Raw genomic sequence first — 23429 nt, 5'->3', positions numbered from 1 at the left:
TGGATCTTCTAAACAATGTAAAACGATTTTTCTAAAATTGTATACAGCTGATAATTTTAGTGTAAAAATACTTGCCCTCCGTCCCCACTGCATCTCCTTCCCCAAATGAAACTTTTGAGGTTTCTTTACTGAAAATGTTAATGTCATTTTCTTCTCCCTGGATCTGAGTTCCCTCAACCTCGATCTTAAAGTTCCATGTGCAGAATTTGGAGTTCTGATAATTTAAAAAGCTCCACGGGATTCTAAAAATCAAACTCACAGAATTTTGAAAGGCACACTCCATTTTTACAAGAAACTAGTACACAAGGATTCCAGTGTCAGCTTTTCCACTGTAAACTGTTATAATAAACCTTGAGTTCATTATAACCTCTATGGGTCTCAATTTGTTCATCTCTAAAATGAAGGTCACAGACTATCTCTTACGTACTTTAATGTTGTTCCATGATACCATTTAAGCCTGCTAATGAATTACTTAAATATCGAAGTCCACATTAAGCCTTATGGAAAAGCATAACTGGCAAGATTTTCCTCTCAATTACTTGTGCTAATAGGGGCCAAAATGGCATAGATACTTTAAATTCACAGATAATCCCCAAACTTCAATTTAGCTAAGTGTTCCAACCTCCTCTCGTGCCAAACCATTTACAGGGGATTGAAACAATTAGCACACACTGACTGGTAAGAAATTTATCTCCTTTATAATTCCTTCATTGTCTCCTGACTTACCACTGGAATATTTTCTTATTTAAATTCCTAAAAATAGAAATGAAGAATAAATCGAATATAGTTGTTGTATAATCTACCAAATGGTTATGTTTCAAAATATCCCACCACTGTTACTATTTTTAATATTAATTTATTAAGAGCTTATCCTGTGTGACATGCTTTATATATCACTTTATTTAAACCTCACAATCACCTTTTTGAGTAGTGTGTCAGTTTTCTGAGCCTGCTATTGCAAAGTAGTACAAACTGAGCAGCTTAAACAACAGACATTGATTATTTCATAGCTCTGGAGATGAGACACGCCCCCTCCTAGCTCTGATGGTGTGCTGGCAATCTTTGGCACTCCTTGACTAGTAGATATATCATTCCAATCTCTGTCTTCATCTTCACATGATGTTTGTACCGTGTGTCTCTTCTTCACGTTATTCTTTTTAAAAGGACGCTAGTTATGTTGGATAAGTGGTCCATCCCACTTCAACATGACCTCATTTTAATTTGATTTCCTCTGTTAAAGTTTCTCTTTCCAAAGAAAGTCACATTCTGAGGTACTGGTGGTTAGGACTTCAGACACACCTTTTTTGAGGGTGACATAATTCAATTTATAAAAGGTAGTCATTATTCTCATTATTATTCCCATTGTAGAGATGAGTTAACTCAGGTTCTAATGTTGCATTAATTTTTCTGGAGTTCAAAACCCAGTCAGTGGTGAAGTTGGACTTCATATCCACTTGTTGGAGTTAATTCTTAGTGTCTCCAAGCTTTGAGCAGTGATTTAAAAATAAATGAATAAATAAGCCTGGAACTAAAGTCATCTTGCAGGGGACTTATAGTAATCCTAGGAAGTCTAATAATGGGATACTCTTGTAAAAATATTTTTTTTAAGTTCAATACTTAGTGGAGATTTAAAAATAGCACCTAGGAGCAATTTTCTGTTTGTTTTATTGTGTGGATAAGAGTGTGCATGTTTAGAATCTTCATTCAAGAACCTGTCTGCTGTGGCAGGAGAGGCCACGAACATTCTGAAGTCGTGTAAGTTGCATTGGAAAATCAAAATTAGGCACTGTATTTGATTTCTTTCTCCAGTGATGATTTAATGCACTTTAATGATTGCGACATGTGAAGCCAACTGGCTGCTCATTAATCTTGTTCTGCCCTGAGCACCTCCATTTCATGTCCTACACAGAAATGGAATAGGGCAGAACCTTGGGCCTTTGGAGGAAGCATATAGACTTCAGGAATTAGGGGAGGGGAAATAAAATTTAGAGATTAAATAGAAAAGTTCCCATTAAGCCCTGAGTCCCTGGAGTTCATAGTTGTCCTTCCTCAAGATATCTTGTTAGTGATTGAAAATGTTTCACTTATTTAAGATTTCTTATGTTTTGTTAAAGGGTAAGCTGCAGAAGAAACTATGCACACACACACATACCCACACCCCTAGTGCAAACCTCTGTAGGAAGTTAGAGTTTCACATTACAATTTAATGTGAATCTGTTGGGCTCACCCTTTGCTTTAAAGAACTCTTACTGAGATTGGTTATGGTGAGGTAAGTAGAAGTCTTGGTGCAGAACTGGGTTAAACAAAGGGAGGAGAAGTTTTGGATCATGTTTTCTCATCAAAGAGAATGTGGGGTAGAGGCATCATGGTTTGTATATAAGCTGAGGGAGTCTATAATTTCTCTGTAATGGTGCTATAGATTAGATGTTTAATCTCTATTTCCAGCTCTTTTTTTTTGGATGGCTTGATAACTAAAGCAAAGACAGTTTTTAAAATCTGTGATTGCCATTCACATTATTTTATTTTTGAGCATTTCAATAATAGTTACATAAAGTATATAATTGCTAGAATAAATTTAAAACATCTAATCATCACCTTTGATTGCATTTAGGATATGCGCTAGAGAGAGGAATAAAGGATTTAGCATATTGGCAAAACTTTTACAATTTGTATTAGTAATTGTGTAATGTTAAGTAAAACTGCTTTACATTAATCATATAAAAGTTTATTTTTCGTAGTTGTTTTCAATTAAAATACCCATCTTCAAAACCCCAGAGCTCTTTGTTATGAAGGCTGTGCAAGTAGTTCCACACACATCAGTCAACATATGAGCATCTTCTATTATTTTATATAGGCAGTGAAAAAATACTGCTGGTTATTTCAAGTGACCTTAGCTAAATCCAACTTCAACTTATGAAACTTATTTTCTTTCTTCCTCCTCTTTTTAATGGATGAGGGGAGGAAAGAGACAGGAAGCGTGACTAACCTGAGAGTTGTTCTAATAACTATACTCCTAACTTTTGCCTTATGAGGTTTCCAAATGAACTGTCAGACTCTTAATATAAATCTCTTCCTGAGGCCTTCCTTCCTTGAAAATATTGGAACACACAAAAAATGATTTATTATTAAAAAGGCATTCCTCTTTTACTGACCCTGTGGTGTGTACATTCTGTGGATTGTCTATAGAATATTGTCTTGTTATGGAGTCATGAAAGGAATTAAGACTGTTAAACAATGATTGATCTGATAATAATAAATATCTGATAATGTCATCCAGTGTTTTATTATAATCACTGCTCTTAGGGTTTAGGGGATCAATAAATAATTCCCTGTTCTTCCCCTCCTGAGCCTGGAATCAATTCAGAATTAAGACTCAGGAGACAGACAAATGGAGGTCAAATAGTTTTATTATAGAGATGATTGGAAAACGTGGTTATAAAGGCATGGGCAAAAAGGCTTAATACCCTACCACTGAGTTAAGCCAACTTACCAACCTGATAATTGGTGCAGCTGAACAACCAAATGCCTCCCAAACAGGGCAGAGTTGGCCCTCCCTGATCATCACATGACAGCATAGAAATTGACTGAGATTTGAAACTGAGAGGCATGGAGAGAGGCAGGAGTCAAGAGGGGGCTGAAGTGGATGTGCTCAGGGTCTTCTGCCAAACTTTAGAATCAGAGGAGTAAAGAGAAGATCAGGTGGATTGTTCTAATGGAGACACTCACAAAAACCAGAGGAAAGAAGAAGAAGGGAGATTATACTCCACATCCTGCAGGTATTGGTTCTGTTAGCCTATTGGGTTTTGCCACACTATTGATTTTTCCCACCTCAAATTATCACCAGCCATGTTGTCAAATGTAGATTACAGTAGTACACAATAAATGAATATCAGTATGCAGACAATAATATAATGTCACTGATACTGAAAGAACCAAATGTGGACACTATAACTCTTCCATTATTACATTTCCAGAGGTTGACATAAATCTCCAAATGAAATCACTTTGCTGTGTAAAAATCCAGTCAAATCAAAGGCCAAAATTCGTAAGTTAAAGGCCAAAGAAACGAAAGCCTGAAATAATTTTTTTATTTGCTCAGCCAGACAGCTAACTGCTCTGATTCCCAAGTAGTGTGGGTGACTTCAGCAGCTATCAGTCATTGAAATTGGTTGTAGTTCCTTCAGTACCTCAGCAGTACTCCTCCTCATTGAGGTAAACACCATCCTGCTTTTCTGTCGTTATAATTATTTAAGTATGTATCCCTTACGATGTGTTGTTTATTTTTCTGTTTTCAAAATAAGTTGAATCACAATTGACAGATCTTTTTTCGTCTTTATTTTGATCTTGGTTTCTGAACTGTCCATGTTAATGCACGTAGCAATAGCTCATTGATAGAATATGGCACAATTTATTAAACACTTCTATGGATCATTGTCCCTTCTTATTTTTGTTATTAAGAACAATTCTGGTGTGAACATTCATGCAAATATGCAAAGATTTTAGTGTAGGATCCCACTGTTTAAAAAGTACAGAGGACATAGAAGTAATAAAAAGTAAATAAAAGTAATAAGACATAGAAGATTATTACCATACTATCTTTATATGCACCAAGTTCAGAAAACACAGCAACCCACTATTTTACAGCAGTGAACCAGTGATTCACTGATGAATGATGGAAAGAATATATCCCAGGAAAATCTTGCTTGGACCACCCTTGCTGAGATGCCATTCAGTTCATGCCATTTTTCTGGATTCCAAGAGCTGTGATCTCCACGTGATCTAATTCTTCTGTCATAAGCTTAATCACAACATTGCATGGACAGTGACTCAGAGGAAATCCACCTGTTTATACATTCCTTTCTCAAAGAGTGTTTTTGAAACATTCCGGCCATACTGCTAAGTTTAGAAATTTGTAAAAATGGTAGACTCAGGCCAGGTGCAGTGGCTCACGTCTCTAATCCCAGCACTTTGGGAGGCCGAGGCAGGTAGATCACCTGAGGTCAGTAGTTTGAGACCAGCCCGGCCAAAATGGTGAAACCCTGTCTCTACTAAAAATACACACAAAAAAATTAGCCAGGTGTGGTGGTGGGTACCTGTAATCCCAGCTACTCAGGAGGCTGAGGCAGGAGAATTGTGTGAACCTGCGAGACGAAGGTTGCAGTGAGCTGAGATGGTGCCATTGAACTCCAGCCTGGGCGAAAAGAGTGAAACTCCATCTCAGGGAGAAAAAAAAAAAAAAAAAACAAAAAAGATTCAGTCACCAGGTATAATCTGAGGCACCATTTTTCCCCAAATAGTATATTCAAAGCAATTTAATTTTCAGCCCCAGTTTTGTAACGAATGTGGATTCTGTCTTGTAGCATGGCTCACACACTCTATTGTGAGCAGATATATAAAGTTCTGTGCTGCACGAGTTGCTGCCATGAACTCTAGAAATGGAGATGCTGAAACCTGTGCAACATGTTTTCTTGGGAGGGTTCCTCTTTTAGCCCCATATTTATTTCATATCGGAAATCATGAGCCTGAACAGAAGCTGTTGATAGTCCTGAAATGTGCATCCCCAGGTGGTCTGCTAAGCCCAATACCTCTGTCAGTGGCTCCTGCTCAGAGTGCTTCTTCCCTCTTTTCCAGGCTTTGAAAAACTTGTATTCTTTTAGGGACATCAGAAACTTCTTTATTTCTACAATACATTTCTCTCCAGCAGTGGAGCATGACCCCAGTATTCTATTTCCTGCTATTGTTTCCTTCCACATTTCTAGGAGGCTCAGGTGAATTTTTAACTGTTTAACATGTTAAACGTTTCCTAACACCTACAGGGCTACTACTGTTTGCAGATTCAGAATGTACTGTTTCCTTTTTATTCAACTTTGCTTTGCAGTCCAGGAATTCATATACTTGTCTATATTTTGTCTTATGACAGTTAAAAAATAAATGAGTACTGCATCTGCCAAAAAAAAAAAAAAAAAACTTTTCAAGCACATCTTGTCTATCTTCACACCCTGAAGTAAAAAACTGTGACCCAAGATGGACATTCCTACAGAGCGTGTGAGCTAGCTCTGGATTCAGTATATTATTGCCTGCTGGGTTCTTGTTTACTGTGTTTCATCTTTTCTATGCCTTATTTCACTTCTCATCCAACTTCTCAGAATCCCTAATGGCTAAGCAACACTCATATCCCAATTTGTTATAAATTATGCCAATTTAGTGAATATCGACTCACAATATTTACGTGAAACAATTTTAAGAATTCTATATTGATCTTTTTGGCAATTTTCCTCTCAATTACAGAAGTTCAGATGCCATGTGGTCTGATTATCTAAGTACTGAAGAGGTGGTTCCTCATTGTGCTAATTACTCTATCTGCAGATTTGTTCCCCTGATAGATTTTTAGATATGTTTTCTCCAAAAGAGTTGAGTCTCTGAGACTGTCTCCTTTCTTTGGTTATATTTATTGGGCACAAGTAACTTTCCAATCTAGTAATGATTAAAACCTCTTCTCTTTTTTTCTGAAACCCTTCTAAAAAGTTTGACCTGAGCATGTCGTCTCTTTTATTTTATATGTGCTTAGCTTACCCTTTAAGATCACAACATACCTCTTAAGAATAATCTTTTTCTTCTTCTAGATCAAGCTGTCTTTATTTGTTCTTTCATAATTTCATTCTCTTGGGCAAACTGAAGTAAACTTTTTTAAGCATTGCAGATTTTCTCTTGGGTTTCCTGAGGAAACTTGGTTTCTCATACTAGAGTACTCATATAAAATCTTATTTCATTTGCAAAGTTAATTGAGTTCTTTTTTTCCCCATCCCAAGCAATGAAGATGACATTGTTTTAAATAAGAAGGGCTACCATTTTATTTAATGTGTTTATTATTAAAGCCTATTATACTGTGATTTCAGTTGTTCTCTTGTTCTAGAGACAACAACTGGGAGAGCTATTCTAGCATTTAGCTACCTTACTATATACTATATGAAAAGCACTGTGATGGGGTCAGGGAACACACTTTAGAAACTGAAATATGTCCTGTGTAGCTAGAGTACAGTGAGGAAAACAAAATTGAGGCCAGAAAGGTAGGCAAAGGGCTAGAGTCTACAAGATTATCTAGACTGTGACAAGGATCATGAGCAATAAGGCACTTTCTGCTCTTGAGTTCAGAATCTTCAGAAAGTTTGTACAAGGGAATGAAATAGTTAAATTTTTTTTTGAGGAATTGCAATATGTAAATGGATAAAAATCATGGGAACACAGCTGAAGGGAACATTCATTTGCCCTGCCACGATGGTGATAAAGAGAGGGAAATTTAATAGGGTGATGTTTTCCAAATTTTAATTTCATAGTCTGAGTCATTTTGCTGGAAGAAAGAGAAAGGAAAACTTCTTTGTGCTACTTGCCTCTCTGGTGGGACCGAAGCCTTCATTTCACTTCTAGGAAGCAGCTTAACAAAAAAAGTAGTCAGAATTACTGAATTTTTCCTTGAAAATAAGTTCATATTTAGCATAGTCCACAGCATTTAAGGCTATTTTGTTTCCCCATTGCATTGAAACAACAGCCACACAATCTATTTCATGTTATAAAAATTGCACAAGAAAAAGTAGAGACATGATAAACTATAGTGCTTTAAAAATATCTGAATTTTGAGTTTTTTCTTCTGGTTAACTATTTTTATAATTATAATTTTTAATAATTAAGTTACTTTTCATGTTTAAAGTATTTTATCAGTCCACTTTTTTGAAGACATTAAAAATGTTTCAATCGAAATCACTTATTTGCTCTACATGGATTTGAATTAGCTTGTTGATTATGGAAATGAGATTCAAGAAAATGCTTTCTATTGATTTCTGATGTGTAGATAATATTCCAGGGCAGCATTAGAACTACATGCAAATGATATACTCAAGCACATATTTTTAGTTGTAAAATTGTTGGTATTATTAAAATTGCTGGAGGGCTCACATAAAAGCTGTGTGATGAATTAGATTATGATGTGGATTATATTAATAGTATTTATCTAGCACTTACTAATTATCAAGCATACCAGGCTAGGAGATTTATATTCTTTTTCTGTTCTTCATTAATTTGTTTACTCTTTTACTCTTTTATTCAACATACATATACTTGAAGATATATTTATGTATATGTATATTTCACAAAGTATTTGTGACAGTAGCATTTTTCTTCCAAGCAGAATTTAGGTAGTGTTCACTTATGTCATTAGAGAAGACATTGCTACAATAGCAAAGGTTATGGGTATTGAAATAGAAACCTTATGCAAATATAAATTAGAGATATTTGAACTAAATTGAGGTAAGTTCTGTAAGCTCACTGTGGAAAATGTATCACTGGTCATTAAATTCTCAAACTCAGTCTTGCAGAGTAAAATAACTAACAAAATTGGTAACAATATATGCAGTCCTCAACATCTACATGCAAGGTTTATAAAACCCATTTGTTTTTACTTAAATTGTTTGCCTCAATTGCAGCCACTCTACTCTAAAACGACTCATTTCCCTCCAAAGGAAAGGTAAAATGTGTATTTCCAATTAGAAGACTTGTAGATAATTGCACGAATCTCCTTGACGATATATCGTTGATTATGACTTGTTTGGGAAGTGTGATCATTTGGAAGGTTGAATTAAATCTCCTCAAGTGAGTTAAAATTCCTATCGAAAATGGTGGTAATAAGTATTCATGCAAGAAAATTCCTAGGCTTAAAGAAACGCTGTTAAGTTGAAGAAGTATATGTAAAAGTCTTACAAATAGAATGACGTCATCAAGATGCTGCCCACTCAGATGCATTATGTAGAACATATACAAGTTAGGATATAGGAGGTGTAGGTTATTTAATGTCACTGTTTCTATAAGGAGTAGAGAGGCTACAATGTATAGATTTATCGGATCAATTAGCCTGCATATTTTCTTCTTGGATAAAAATTCAAGACCTTATAGAGAGTCAAATAGAAATCATCGAACCCACCTTTAATTTTTTGGAGGGAAATTTATACAGTCAGTATAAATTGTGTGTGTGTGTGTGTGTGTGTGTGTGTGTGTGTGTGTATAGACTGAGTTTTTGCTATGAAGAAGTAAGATTTGGACTATGGGGTGCCAAAGGAGTGTTTTCATTTCTTCTTCTGTCTTAACATGACAGTTAAAGGTCATGCCTTTGGAAAAGGAAGAGGGTGTGGATTGTGAACAGGTAGTGTCAAGAACTAGGTCATGATTTATGGTACCAGAGAAATGGGCCCTTAGGGAGGTCAGATGGCCCATGAAGTCCAGGATTATCTAATATTAAGCCCTCACTTGAGTACAAGCGCTGACCTAGGTGCCTTCATAGGAACAACTTATTTAATCCTTATAACATTCCTGAGCTAGGTAATTAGATCTAGGCATTAAGATCTTCTGTTTATATATAAGAAAACTGAAGGTTAGGCAAATTATCCAAATGAATACATCTAAAAAGCAGTAAAGTCAGAACACAGACTCTTGACATTTTGGTTCCAGCCCTCTTGGACTCATAACATGGCTACCTCCCTCCAAAGGATCTGAAATATGCATTTGGCATGTGACTTTACATTTATATAAAATTGTTTTATTTATGAATGCATTTTTATCATTCATACATATTTTATAAACACTGTCTGAGAGCCTATGGCTCATGAGCCATTGCAGGGGGATGTAGAGAGAAGGTAAGGCTATGTGGGAACAGAGTATCCCAAAAAGCATAACTGAAAGGACAAGATAAATTATATAAATAAGAATGTAAAAATACACATCATTTGGAGTAATTGGTATGACATAGAAGTACAGTTATGCCTATTAATTATTAGAAAGGAAGACACTAAAGAAGGATAGTAACAGTATAATTGATTTTAGGTCTCTCTATGCCAGTATAATGAGTATGCATAACAACAATAAAAAAGCAAAACCTTGAGATTTTAGCAATAGTAGTTGAATTTAATCCCACAGATATGTCATTTGAATTACATATCTTGGTCAAAAGAAGCTAGTAGAGGAAGGAAAGAGTTGATATTTATAACAGGTGTGTCTAAGTGGAAACACTAAGGTCTAGGTATAAAAGTCTTGTGTTACATATTTGAGATGAAGGAAGGAACATACCATGTTTTTTGTAAATCTGCCAGGTTTTTTTTTAAGGTTGATAAAGAATATGGCTCAGGCTCTCTGATGACCTCAAAGTTTTAGCATAACATGTTCCTAAACAAGAGCTACCTTTCCTTAACCCATATCCTCATTCTCAAAAGGTATGAATAGTACCCTTTTCTTCCTTTCTTTATCAAAATTACAAAAAAGAAAATCATACATTCAATTACAATTATATTTCTATAAATTACCATTTATTACTGAATACATGATGCTTCTAATTTGAGTATTCTGCATACATTTCTCTACGAAAGGTGAAAGTGAAGGTCACATTTCTTTTTACATGCTCTTGGAATGCGCTGAAGAACATTCCATCTTGCTGACAATCTTGTTCTTGGTCCCCATCATACATGCTCCTTCCTTGCACGTCTCTTCCTTAAGTTTCTCAGCCAATTTTACTAATTTAATTTGAACAGACACTTCTCAAAAGAAGACATTTATGCAGCCAACAAATGTATGGAAAAAGCTCATCATCACTGGTCATTAGAGAAATGCAAATCAAAACCACAATGAGATACCATTTCACACTAGTTAGAATGGCGAATATTAAAAACACTGTTGGTGGGAGTCTAAATTAGTTCAACCATTGTTGAAGACAGTGTGGCTATTCCTCAAAGATCTAGAACCGGAAATACCATTTGACCCAACAATTGCATTACTAGGTATATACCCAAAGGATTATAAATCATTCTACTATAAAGACACATGCTCATGTATGTTTATTGCAGCACTGTTCACGATAGCAAAGACTTGGAACCAACCCAAATGCCCATCAATGATAGACTGGATAAAGAAAATGTGGTACATATACACCATGGAATACTATGCAGCCATAAAAAAGAATGAGTTCATGTCATTTGCAGGGACATGGATGAAGCTGGAAATCATCATTCTCAGCAAACTAACACAGGAAAAGAAAACCAAACACTGCATATTCTCACTCATAGGTGGGAACTGAACAATGAGAATACACCAACGCAGGGAGGCGAACATCACACACTGGGGCCTGTCAGGGTTTGGGGGACTATGGGAGGGATAGCATTAGGAGAAATACCTAATGTAGATGATGGGTTGATGGGTGCAGCAAACCACCATGGCACATGTATACCTATGTAACAAACCTGCCAGTTCTGCACATGTATCCCAGAACTTATAAGTATAATCATAATTTAAAAAAAAAAGCCAACTCAAACGTTTCTGGATTTTTGTTGTTGTTAACTTGTAAAGTTCATAAAAATAAAAGTTAAACATACTACTCCTTGTAAAAAAAATTCTATTTTTGAAATTTCATTGATTGCCTGTGTATCTATTATTGGTTATTAATTCTGTGTCCTTCTTTTCTCCCATGTTTCTTCTATCACTAAAGTACTAATAAATTCCAAATGTGTACCTCTAATTTGTAAAATTCTCCTGAGCCACAGATTTACATGTACAGATTTCAGAACTATGTACCCAGAAAAAGCTATAGCGTTTTCAAACTCAATACATTTACATTTTACTTTATATTCCTCTACTACTTCCTCATATTGGTTTGTTTTAGTGAAGGATATCATCACCCGGTTGCCCAAAATCTTCTTTGCCTTATCTTCAAATTGCCAGTTACCGAAGTCTTTCCATTATCAAGTCTCTCAAATCGCGTCTGAAATTCTAGTTTCCAATGTTGGGTTATATCTATTTCCACAATGAACCTCAGACTTCAGCCACATAGAATATACTACCATCTATGTTGTTGAATATGGTATTTTCTCTGTTTAGAATATGTATTCACTCCAGTCAAAGCATTCGTTGACTTTCCTTGGAAGAGCTGGTAGCTTCCACTAGTGAGTTTACAGCCCGAGAATTTACTTTAACATGTAATACTTTCCACTAAAATTATTTGTTATTGTATTGAGAAAAAACAATGAAAATACTGGTATGGTTCTATTAATTTCAAACAAAACCTACTTAGAAAGAAAAGTGGTCTTAGAGGCCAGGTGCGGTGGCTCAGGCCTGTAATCCCAGCACTTTGAAAGGGAGCCAAGGCAGACAGATCACGAGGGCAGGAGATCCAGACCATCCTGGCTAACACGGTGAAACCCCGTCTCTACTAAAAATACACAAAAAAAATTAGCCGGGCGTGGTGGCGGGCGCCTATAGTCCCAGCTACTCGGGAGGCTAAAGCAGGAGAATGGCGTGAACCCGGGAGGCGGAGCTTGCAGTGAGCCCAGATTACGCCACTGCACTCCAGCCTGGGCGACAGAGCGAGACTCCATCTCCAAAAAAAAAAAAATAGTAGTTTTAGAGATAAAATGGAACAACTTCATAATAGTATCTGTTGAACAAAAGACTATGAATATTTCAAATGTTTATATATTAATGGCTAATATGCATAACAAGGAAAAATGATGTAGCTTATAGGGAAAGAAAGATGAATCCCAAATCATGGTGGGATATGACAACATGCATCTTCTAATATTTGAATAAACCACAAGATCAACACATTTAAGGTAATTTATGTATATAATTTTACAATATAATTTTAAGTACATATAGAGCATTCATAAAAAATGACCAGATGCTGAATCATAAGGCAAGTTTCAATACATTCAGAGGATTGAGATTACATAGAGTAAGTGCTTTGTGTACAAATTAATATGAGGTAGAAAATCTTCAGATATTAGGACATTTAAAACATAGATATTTATATTTTTGGAATTTCTTAAAACACAACTTGAAAATATTTAGAAATGAATACAAATTAAAATGCTGTTTGAAAATGAAAGCCAGTATTACAAGTGAAACCTGTAATTTACACACATATATATATATATGTAGAGAAAAAGGCAGAAAAATAATATAAGTATCTATCTCAACAAGTTAGGAAGGACCCAGCACATATATCTCAAATACAAAAGAAGAGAAATAATAAATATCAGAAGGTAATATAATGGAAAATATTATATCATATATTGTACTGCATACAACAGAGGGGATCAACAAAACCACAACTGGCTTTTTTTTTTAAATAAACTGATGAAAGTGACAGTGATGCAACTTGCCAAGTAAAAAAAATAGAGGATTCAAGGAAAGCTAATGTCAGTTAAATCACTATAAACCCTGATGATACTAAAAGGATGTTGAGAGGATGTTAGAAATTACTTTTCTAAAAACATAGAATTTTGAATAAAATTTCTAGAAAAATACAACTTAGCAAAGATGAGAAGCGCAAGAAAAAGACACTCTAAGTAATTATGTAACTATTTAAGTAATGGACAACAAAAAAACCCTTTATTATAAACATTCTTATAGAAGTGTGCTTTCTTATTATGATATAAAAATATCTAGCAAACGCTTACAACTAATATCACACTTAGTAGCAGTGGTTCCTTTTGAGATAAAGACAAGGATGCCCAGTATCACCACTTGTATTCAGTGTTGTATTTGTGGTCTTGGTAAATGCGTGAATGCAAAATGTATACGTGCATATACACGTGAATTCATGCATACACACATGCATGCCTTTTTAGTAAAGTTAAAGGATTTGAATAGACTAGATAAAACTATTATTGTGTAAGTGTGGATAGTAAATTGAAAGGAATGTACCAGATTATTAATTTTAATATATGATTTTTTATTGAGGTTCCTCACTAAGAAATCAAATGCATTTCTATATACAAGTAATATAAAAATACCATGTCTGGTAACATAAAAATATCAAATCAGAATGCATCTACTGAAAGATGTAAAGCTATATGTAGAAAATTCTACATTATTGGGATAAAATAATACCATAGAGTGAAAGACAACACAAAATGGGAGGAAATATTTGCAAATCACATATCTAATAAAATATTGAGATCACTTAGAACTCAACAATAAAAAGACAACCCAATTAAAAAGTGAGCAAAGAGGTCAGGTGTGGTGGTTCACGCCTGTAATCCCAGCACTTTGGGAGGCCGAGGCAGGCAGATCACTTGAGGTCAGGAGTTCGAGACCAGCCTGGCCAACATGGTGAAACCCCATCTCTACTAAAAATACAAAAATTAGTCAGGCGTGATGGTGGCACGTGCCTGTAATCACAGAAGGAGGCTGGGTCAGGAGAATCACTTGAACCCAGGAGGCAGAGGTTGTAGTGAGCCAAGATCGCACTGATGGTCTCTAACCTGGGTGACAGAGCAAGACTCCATCTCAAAAAAAAAAAAAAAAAAAAAAGTGAGTGAGTGAAGAATTTTAATACATATTTCTCCAAAGAAGATTAAAAAATGGGCAATAACCATATGAAAAAAATGTTCAACATTATTAGTCATTAGGGAGACAAACATTAAAACTACAGTGAGATCCATCACATTCCACCATATAGCTATGATTTTTTGTTGTTGTTGTTTGAATTTTTGTTTTTATCATACTTTAAGTTTTAGGGTACATGTGCACAACGTGCAGGTTTGTTACATATGTATACATGTGCCACGTTGGTGTGCCTCACCCGTTAACTCGTCATTTAACATTAGGTATATCTCCTAATGCTATCCCTCCCCCATCCCCCCACCTCACAACAGGCCCCGGTGTGTGATGTTCCCCTTCCTGTGTCCACGTGTTCTCGTTGTTCAATTCCCAACTATGAGTGAGAACATGCGGTGTTTGATTTTTTTAATAAAATAGAAAATAAGTGTTGGCAAGGATATGGAGAAATTGTAAACCTTATGCCTTGCTAGTGGAAATGTGAAATGATGCAGTTGCTGTGGAAGACAGTTTGGCAGTTCATCAAACACATAGAATTACCAGATGACCCTGAAATTCCTAAGTATATACCCAGGAGGACTGTAAACAAATGTTCACACAAGAAAACACATATAGGAATGTTCATAGCATTGTTATTCATAATAGCAAAAAAATGAAAACCTAAATGTCCTTCGGCTAGTGAATAAACAATATGTGGTATATCCATTCGATGAAATATTTTTTAGCAACATAAGGAATAAAGTACTATTATATTGCAACAGTATAAATGGACTTTAAAAATATTTTAAATTAAGGCAGACACAAAAGGTCACATGTTGTGTGATTCCATTTATATGAAGTGTACAGAATAGGCAAATCCAGAGAGACAATAGATTAGGAGTTATCAGGGGAAGAAGATACAAGAGAATCAGATATTGGCTGCTAATAGGTACTATATAGGGTTTTCTTTTAAGGTGTTAGAAACATTCTGGAATTAGTAGTTATCTTTGCACAAACTGAACATACTGAAAAAACAATTGTAGAATTTTAAATAGTAAACATTATGTAAATTATATCAATATAGTAAAAAGTCAACACACTCATATTGAAAGAAAGGGTAGAAAAATCTCTACCAGCTATCAAAGCATATTATTAGGCATATTGTGTAAGACAGTACAATATAGACAAATTGTTCAGTGGAACACACAAATGTCTAGAAACAGAGCCAAGCACCCATGGGTACTGAATTCATGACTAATATTGTAGAGCAGTTTGAAAATGTCATATTTTCAATAAATTTTGCTGGACCAATTTGGAAAAATAATGAAATTTTACCCCAACTCAAAATGTAAATTTCAGGTAGATTTTTGGATTAGACGTGAAAGGCAAAGTAATCATAACATAAAAAGATTTTTAGAAGCAAATACAGATGTGTATATATGATTATTTTATGTAATAAACAGGACACATAAGTAAAGATGATTCAATAGGACTGCATTAAAATTAACAATAGGTGTTCAACGTAAGAAACAGTAAGTGAGTAAAAAAGGAAGCCATGGAGTAGGGAACAGATTTTCACAATATATAACCAACAAAGGACTCGCATCTAGAATACATAAAGCACTTCTGTGAATCGATAAGGAAAGACTACCCATATAAAATGCATAAAAATAACTTAAAAAAACCTTCTCAGATGAATACACATGTGTATGACTAATAAACATATGAAAATGCACTAAAATTTGTTATGAAGATAATGTAAATGAAAAGTACAGAAATATTCCACTAAATAGTAAACTGATAGCTAAAATTAAGCAGAAAAGAAATATTTTCTGGAAAAGTGCAACAATGGCAATTCTCGTAACACTATTTAAATTATTTGCTAAAGTAGAACATAGGCATATTTTCTGACCCAGTAATGTCACTCTTAACAAAGGATGCTTATGGTAGGGTAATTCTTAATAACCCCAAAGTGGAAACAATCCACATATCTGCCAATAGTGGATTGAATATGTAAATTGTGGAATATTTATCCAATGGAATACTATAGGAGTAATGAAAACTAACTGCAGTTATGAGCAACAAGATGAATGAATCTCATAAATAAGATTTTAAAGGAAAGGAAGTACACAGAGAGAGAGATGTAGTACATGATTCCAAGTAGATAAAGTTTAAAACTTAAGTTAGAACCATAGGCTGGACAAAAAATCCAGATACTTTGACAAATACAGATAATTAATAGTTTACTGAGATTACAGTGTACAATATATTCAATGACATCCTATGATATGTTCAAGGTGTTGTCCCTCCCTGGTAACACACAGTCAAATGACTTGAAATATTGTGATGAACATGAGACATTAATGCAGCATGATTACAAATCTCTGCACATGTATCTTTGTATATACATATACACTTACCCAGTGTGACAGAACAAGCCACAGGCTTCTATGTACTGGTTAACTTCAAGGTGTTTATCTGTGTAATAATTACATGAGCATTGACTTTGTGATAATTTATTGAGCTGTATACATTTCTATTTTTGCAAATCTTTTGTGGTTTATAACGCACCGCAAAGAAATAACTTAAAATATGACAATAAAAGAATGTATCAGATTATTTTCTTAGGTCGTTAATAGAACTAAGATCCATGGACAAAGGTTTCTAAGAGATAGATCATCCGTTTTACATCTTTGAAGCCAGGCTAGAGAATTCAGTAAGGTCTCTAATAATATGACAAGATCCATTACTTACTCTTCAAAAGTGAAGCATTGATCTTCTCAAATGATTTTAGACACTAGAGAAGGAATATTAATAGCTTCCTTCGGGATGATTTGTTACCAATTAGTGGTCCAGCATTATGGAGATTATTCTGGCCCAACAGAAATAACCTAATTTAAATTTTCTGACAGTAAGATGCAGACACATATTCATATGCACATATAAAACCTTACACAATAGTGTCAACTCCTTTCACACTTACCGTGTTCTCCATTCTCTTTCAAAGAAAGACATGTGTTTTTCAAATGTGTAGTTTCAAACTCGATTCCCAAGACAAAAGGAAAAGGCTACCATCAAATGTTTAAAGAATAATCTCCTTTATTTTATAATAATAATGGTTAGAAGTTCAATATTTCTGCTCAAACACAGAAGCAGGCAGGCATATTTGCAAAAGGCCTCACAATGTTTGCCATTTTCTTTACACAAGACAACATTTATAAAACCTTTGCATCCCATGGCAGGTGCTGGGTCTCCTCTTGGGAATTTGTGCTGTTCAGATATTGCCTTTCATTTGAACTTCAAACACCTTTAAAAAATAGAGGCTGCATTTTAGTATCATTTAAAAATTAAAAGCCTTTTATCTTTGTCATTATAATATCTTTCATGGTTTTACTTTTCAAAAATAAATCAAAGCCAGAACTAATTATTGTCATAGCCAGCAAAAACCTGAAAAATGGGAAAAGTCTTTTAAAATGAAACTTTGGTCTGCTTCTCCCATAAAAACATTAAATTTATGTACTAATTATTAGAGAATTTCAAGTGCATTTAATAATAATCTCCCTTCTTTGAGAACTTAAAGAATTAACCAAATAATTATCGTCACCTAAATAATTGGAAAAAATATTTTCTAGAGCTAGAACATTTCCTTTTTTCCTTTGTTTTAATGGCACAATGTAAGTTAAACACTTCAGTTTAAGTTAAAGACACATTTTCATCTACAGAAATTATGTCTTAAAGTGTTTATTCAGCCAGCAGTACTTGTAAATAGAATAATATTGTAGAATTATAGCATTTTATTGTCTATTTTTTCTGAAACAAAAACTCTTATTTTCTGTCTTTCCTCTGTTTTGCTTTTTATCAGGCTTGGACTCCTTGATCTTCTGGTAACTTCAAAAATCTGGTGAGATATTTTTTTCTTTGGGACTCTCAGTCTTCTGATATTTTTATTTTGTTTGTCACTATTCCTTGGAGTATGTTTTTATTTCTGTGTCAGGCTTAATCCTTAAAAAAAAATCTCCCCTCATTTCCATCTTCTGAGTTTGAATCTCATAAGTCCAGTTACATCTTAACCAATATTAGACAATATGATAAGTCCAGATACTTCTTGGAGATTCAACTTCATGGGTTAGAAGAACATTCCAAACAGAGGGAGCATTTGTTTCTTAAGGAAATTAAATCCCCACTGAAAGAGTTCGTGATAGGACAGAGGATTATGCGGTAAAATGTGGAAAATTTTTCTTTAAAAATAGATCAAATGCAGAAGCAAGATAAAAACCAAAGATGAGCTGACACAAAAATTGGGTGTTTAAAAGTTTTTCAGTAGTACAATGCTGAGAGTATAATTTACATGTTGTAAAGCTAGAAACACACTGAACACACTGATCTTTTCCACATGGAAACTCTTAAAATCCTTGCAACATTTTCCTGGGACATGCATTACAGGGATGATAAAGCTGTACTGGTTGAGATAGGAGGTTTTCTGTGAAGTTGTGTATTTTTCCAAACAGCAGCTTTGTATTCATGTTTGAATCCACCCAGTCTTTTTTCTTCAAATATTATTGAAATATTGCTCACTATCACATTCATACATTGGGATCCTACTATGTTCTGAGTGTATACAAGATTATCAAACATTTTATCTCATTTAATACTATGAAGAAATCTCTAGCTTAGATACGTGTGTAGACTGGATGTCCCAACTCATCTGACGCAGTGACCCTTTCCATAATACTGAACCAAGAATGAGATTCTAACTTGATGGACTGCAGAAATACAATCTTGTACTCCATTATTTAGTAATAACTGGGTATTGCTGGATGGGAGTGGGAGAGCAGTGAAGGTCCAGTATCTCCTTGCTGTTGTTCATTATCTTCCTAAAACCAAATGCTTTCAGGATTTCTCAATATGTTATAATCATTTCATTTCCATGTGGGTTTCATCCTTCAAGTTCACACTTCCCACCAAACAGTACCACATTTGATAGTAAACTGTCATGTTGAACAAACGTTACTGAAGACTTGAGGTTAAACAGAATTATTGCACACAAACAGAAAACTTAAAGTTGTATATCAGATCTCATCACTAAGAAAGCCACTGAATGATGCCTTTCCCATAGAGATGTATGCTTTGTCTCTCTCCATCATCAGTGCACCATGAACCACTGGGGTCTGCATCCCTCCCAGAAGAATACACTTTGACATATTTCTCTCTGTCTTATTCCTTATATTTGAGTCCTGCAAGATACGTGAAGAATAAGTTGACATTAAAATGTTCTGTCATAACTTTAACCAGCCCACAGTGAAGGCAAGCTTCTGTTTATTGCGAGACTAGTTTAGCCTTTCATTGTGCAGGCTTTTACTAGGCCTGAGTAGAATTTTGCATTACCTTTGGAGAGTGGTAAATAGAAATTTCTACCAAACAAATACCTATTCACAATGATGAATTCAGTCCTACATATTTAACCATAAATATGAACAAAAGGAACTTGAAATTATATTTTTTCTTAGTAATTTTTTTTTTTGGAAACAAGGTTTCACTGTGTTGCCCATGCTGGCCTCCTGGGTTCAAGAAATCCTCCTACCTCAGCCTCCAGAATCGCTGAGACGACAGAGCCACACCACGGTCCCTGGCTGCCTTAATGATTTTTAAAAGTATTCATCAAAGTATTAGTCAATATTTAGCCGCAAAATGAGAATGAGGGTTAGCCTTCCATCTCCCTCAGCACTTTCTGCAAATGGAAAGCTTTGCTTAAGCATTTCTTGAGGAACTGGGGTATTTTAGGTAGCACAAATTTTGCCTCCCCATTTCCATCATAACAAATCCTAGAGGTCCTCTATACTTTTTCCATCCTAAAGCTGTCCTTAGTTGCAAAAGTTGGATCTGGACCCTCCTCCTGTAATTGTCCTTTTGCCTAAATTCCATCATTTTTCATTTAAATTGTCAGTATGAATTTCCAATTCTGGATGGCCAAAATGATCTTTTGGGTGGTCTTCTATCTTCTAATATATCTTATTTCAAATCCATTCTTAATATACTACCAGGTGATGGATTCTAAAACACTTATTCTCCTGCTTGTTTGTTTGTTTGTTTTTTAATGTGACCAGTGTGGGAAAATGTATGAGTTTTTTTTCCCTAGTTTGATATACAAGTTATACAATTAAGTATTGCCACAGTTATCCAAAAGCAATCTTTCTTCAGTACATACCAGAAATCTCAAAGCTAATAAGGTTGTTCAGTTTTCTCCCTTTACAAGCCCCACCATCACTATTTCTGCTTCTGTGACCAGCATGATCAGTGTGTCTGCTCGTATCCCCATTTCCTATTCATTCCTCAAGGCCAAATTCAAGTCCCACTTTCTCCTGGAAGTCTTCATTGTTTTCAATATTGTAGTTTGATTCCCCCTGTCCTTGAACTCTTTGTTTTTAAGATGACAAAGCATAGCACTTTACCTTACACTGTCATATGTTCTAAGGTTCTTGTGTTGTGTGCATGTTTTCTACTCAGCAATTCTGCAAGTTTGCTAAATGAGGAAACAATGTCATCTTGTTCTCTTTACTGCAGCATACCTAACACATTGCTCTATGTTTAGTAGTTCCTCAATATTTTCAATTAACTAACTTATTTAGGATTTCACCTTTACTTAAAAAATAACCTTACTGTGTCCAAGTGTTCTCATTGTTCAATTCCCACCCATGAGTGAGAACATGCGGTGTTCGGTTTTTTGTCCTTGTGATAGTTTGCTGAGATGTTTTCCAGCTTCATCCATGTCCCTACAAAGGACATGAACTCATCCTTTTTTATGGCTGCATTGTGGGGTGTAGGGAGGGGGGAAGGATAGCATTAGGAGATATACCTAATGTAAATGACGAGTTAATGGGTGCAGCATACCAACATGGCACATGTATACATCCATAACAAACCTGCACATTGTGCACATGTACCCTAGAACTTAAAGTATAATTAAAAAAAAACCTTAAATTTCCATTTCTAGAATTGCTTGCTTCTAGTTATCATTTTGAAAGAAAACAATGCTGTGAATGTGAAGGATGGTTAATAGTATTTGAAAAACATTCTGAATTATCATGATACACTCTACAAAACTGAGTGCCATTTGAGAGAAATGAAAATAAATGTAAAATTAAAACCAGAGTACTATTGAAATACAAATGATAATATGCAAACTTAGATTCCAAATTAAATACATTAAAAATACTCCATTAAATTATGATATAATTCTCAAGTAAAAAAAATATTTACTCTGGAACTAAATACCAGCAGTAAAAATTTACTTCAAAGTAAAGAACTGACACTTCCTACATAGCAGGTAAAATATTTACAGAAAATCTTATTGCAGCATTTTTTCACTTAAATAAGGTAATGTGTTTAATGTTTACGAATCACTGAATTTTGTATCTGTGTGTGTAGTTCTGGCAATTTGTTCCAATTCATGTATTTTATTTTCTGCACCTGGATTTTGGACCTTTTAAGAGGTCAAAATAATAACATATGCACAATGATGTACACTCAAAGAGAATTTGAATTTTCAAGCTTTCACCGTTTGTCAGGTGCAATGCTAGGTGCTTTATCTGTGTATTCTCATTTCATGCTTCCAGTCTCACTTTGTAAAGGGCATTTTAATATCACTTTAGAGATGAGACTAATGGTCAGAGAGCTTAATTAGTTCATCTACAGTCTCATACTTAATGAATCAAGATGCTGAGATTTCAGTCTATCCTTTGGACTCTAAAGACTATATATACTGAGATACTATTATCCTAGTAAGTTTTTAATAAAACCCAATTCTACATATATTTGAGTAGTAACCCTGATCTGGAGCTCTTAGGAAAGTTTATACATAGATAGTTAAAACAAGATTTTATCTTTTGTACTTATATAGTTATTGAGAAAAATTCAGAGATAGTTACTTTAAATCCAAGGGGAAATAAATTGCCACAGCCTACGCCCCAATTTTGGATCTGTGTATACATATCTTTTATACCTGTAAAACCATGTCATTAATAAGTGAAGCAAAATCTATAGAAACCCACTTAACCCTTCTGCAGTCACGCAATGATGATTAATGGCTGTTTCATTTCCTCATTAGTGTTCTCAGTTTTCTAATGCAAATTTTATGCAAGTTTGGCCGTCCTGAATTTTTTTTAACAGTATTATAGGTAACTTGCAAATTAAATTCATGTGCTTAGCATTAGTCATACAATATCTTTCAAATAATACAAATTAATTCAAATGTAGTATTGTATTTTCCAAGAATTGAATGCTATTTCCATCTAGAGAGTTTAAAAAGTGTATTTCTTTTATATGTACCAAAAATATTCTGATGTTTTATCTACAAGATACTCTCCCCTCAAAAATTAAATGTTTTGTGTTAAAATGATGTTACTGTTTTCAAGGTTGTTATGTTATGTATTTAAATTGTAGAGAACAAACCAAACATATATACCAATCTCACAGTTTTGACTTTTTAAGCATATAGTATATGATAATGCTTTGCACATTTTAACATTATACACAGTTATTAAAGTTGTTATTACTGCTAGTATGCTATCCTGATGTAAATTTATGTCATGATATGAACATAAATCATGTGTTCCCTGACCAAAGGAAGGAATCATACTCTCATGAATTTACTAATATGTTCGTTCTCTCACAATTTTTTTTTTTGTTGCAAACCATTTGATAGGGATTGGGTAATATAAAAAGGATATGACATGACCCCAACTTCAAGGACCTTAATTTTATGTTTCCTGTATAATTAGGTGCTTTTATTTATCATTTTTAAAAAAGTTATTTAAAATTATGAGCATTTGCTTTAAGCCTTTTATTCCCTTTAGCTTGCTGGGATAGCAGGTTATTAGAAATCATAAGGATGGTGAGAGTGATACTATTGGTGTGCATTAATATCTGGGTTTCTTTCTTTATTGACCATATAGAAAATCATATTTTCCTTCCACCTTGCAGTTAGGTGTGGTCATAGGATTACTTTTGGCCAAGGGAAAATGGAAGTAAAGTATATCACTTCTGTGCAGAGGAGATAAAAATCCTCTATGTGCATTTTCAGT

The 23429-nt window shown here is 34.5% G+C and overlaps 1 protein-coding gene across 38 annotated transcripts in view; it reads left to right on the top strand.

Annotated features, from left to right (window-relative positions):
* Positions 1 to 23429, top strand: part of PTPRD (protein tyrosine phosphatase receptor type D) — a 2298757-nt gene that overhangs the window by 860220 nt on the left and 1415108 nt on the right. For all 38 annotated transcript variants that reach the window (NM_002839.4, XM_017014961.3, XM_006716827.5 and 35 more), the window contains one exon: positions 18212 to 18250. The gene's annotated coding sequence lies outside the window, so the exon portion shown is untranslated. The remainder of the gene's footprint in view (positions 1 to 18211; positions 18251 to 23429) is intronic.

This window comes from Homo sapiens, chromosome 9, assembly GCF_000001405.40.
Source record: "Homo sapiens chromosome 9, GRCh38.p14 Primary Assembly".
NCBI classification, from domain to species: domain Eukaryota; kingdom Metazoa; phylum Chordata; class Mammalia; order Primates; family Hominidae; genus Homo; species Homo sapiens.
The sequence above is the reverse complement of the archived record's forward strand: the minus strand, read 5'-3'. Positions and strand labels throughout refer to the sequence as shown.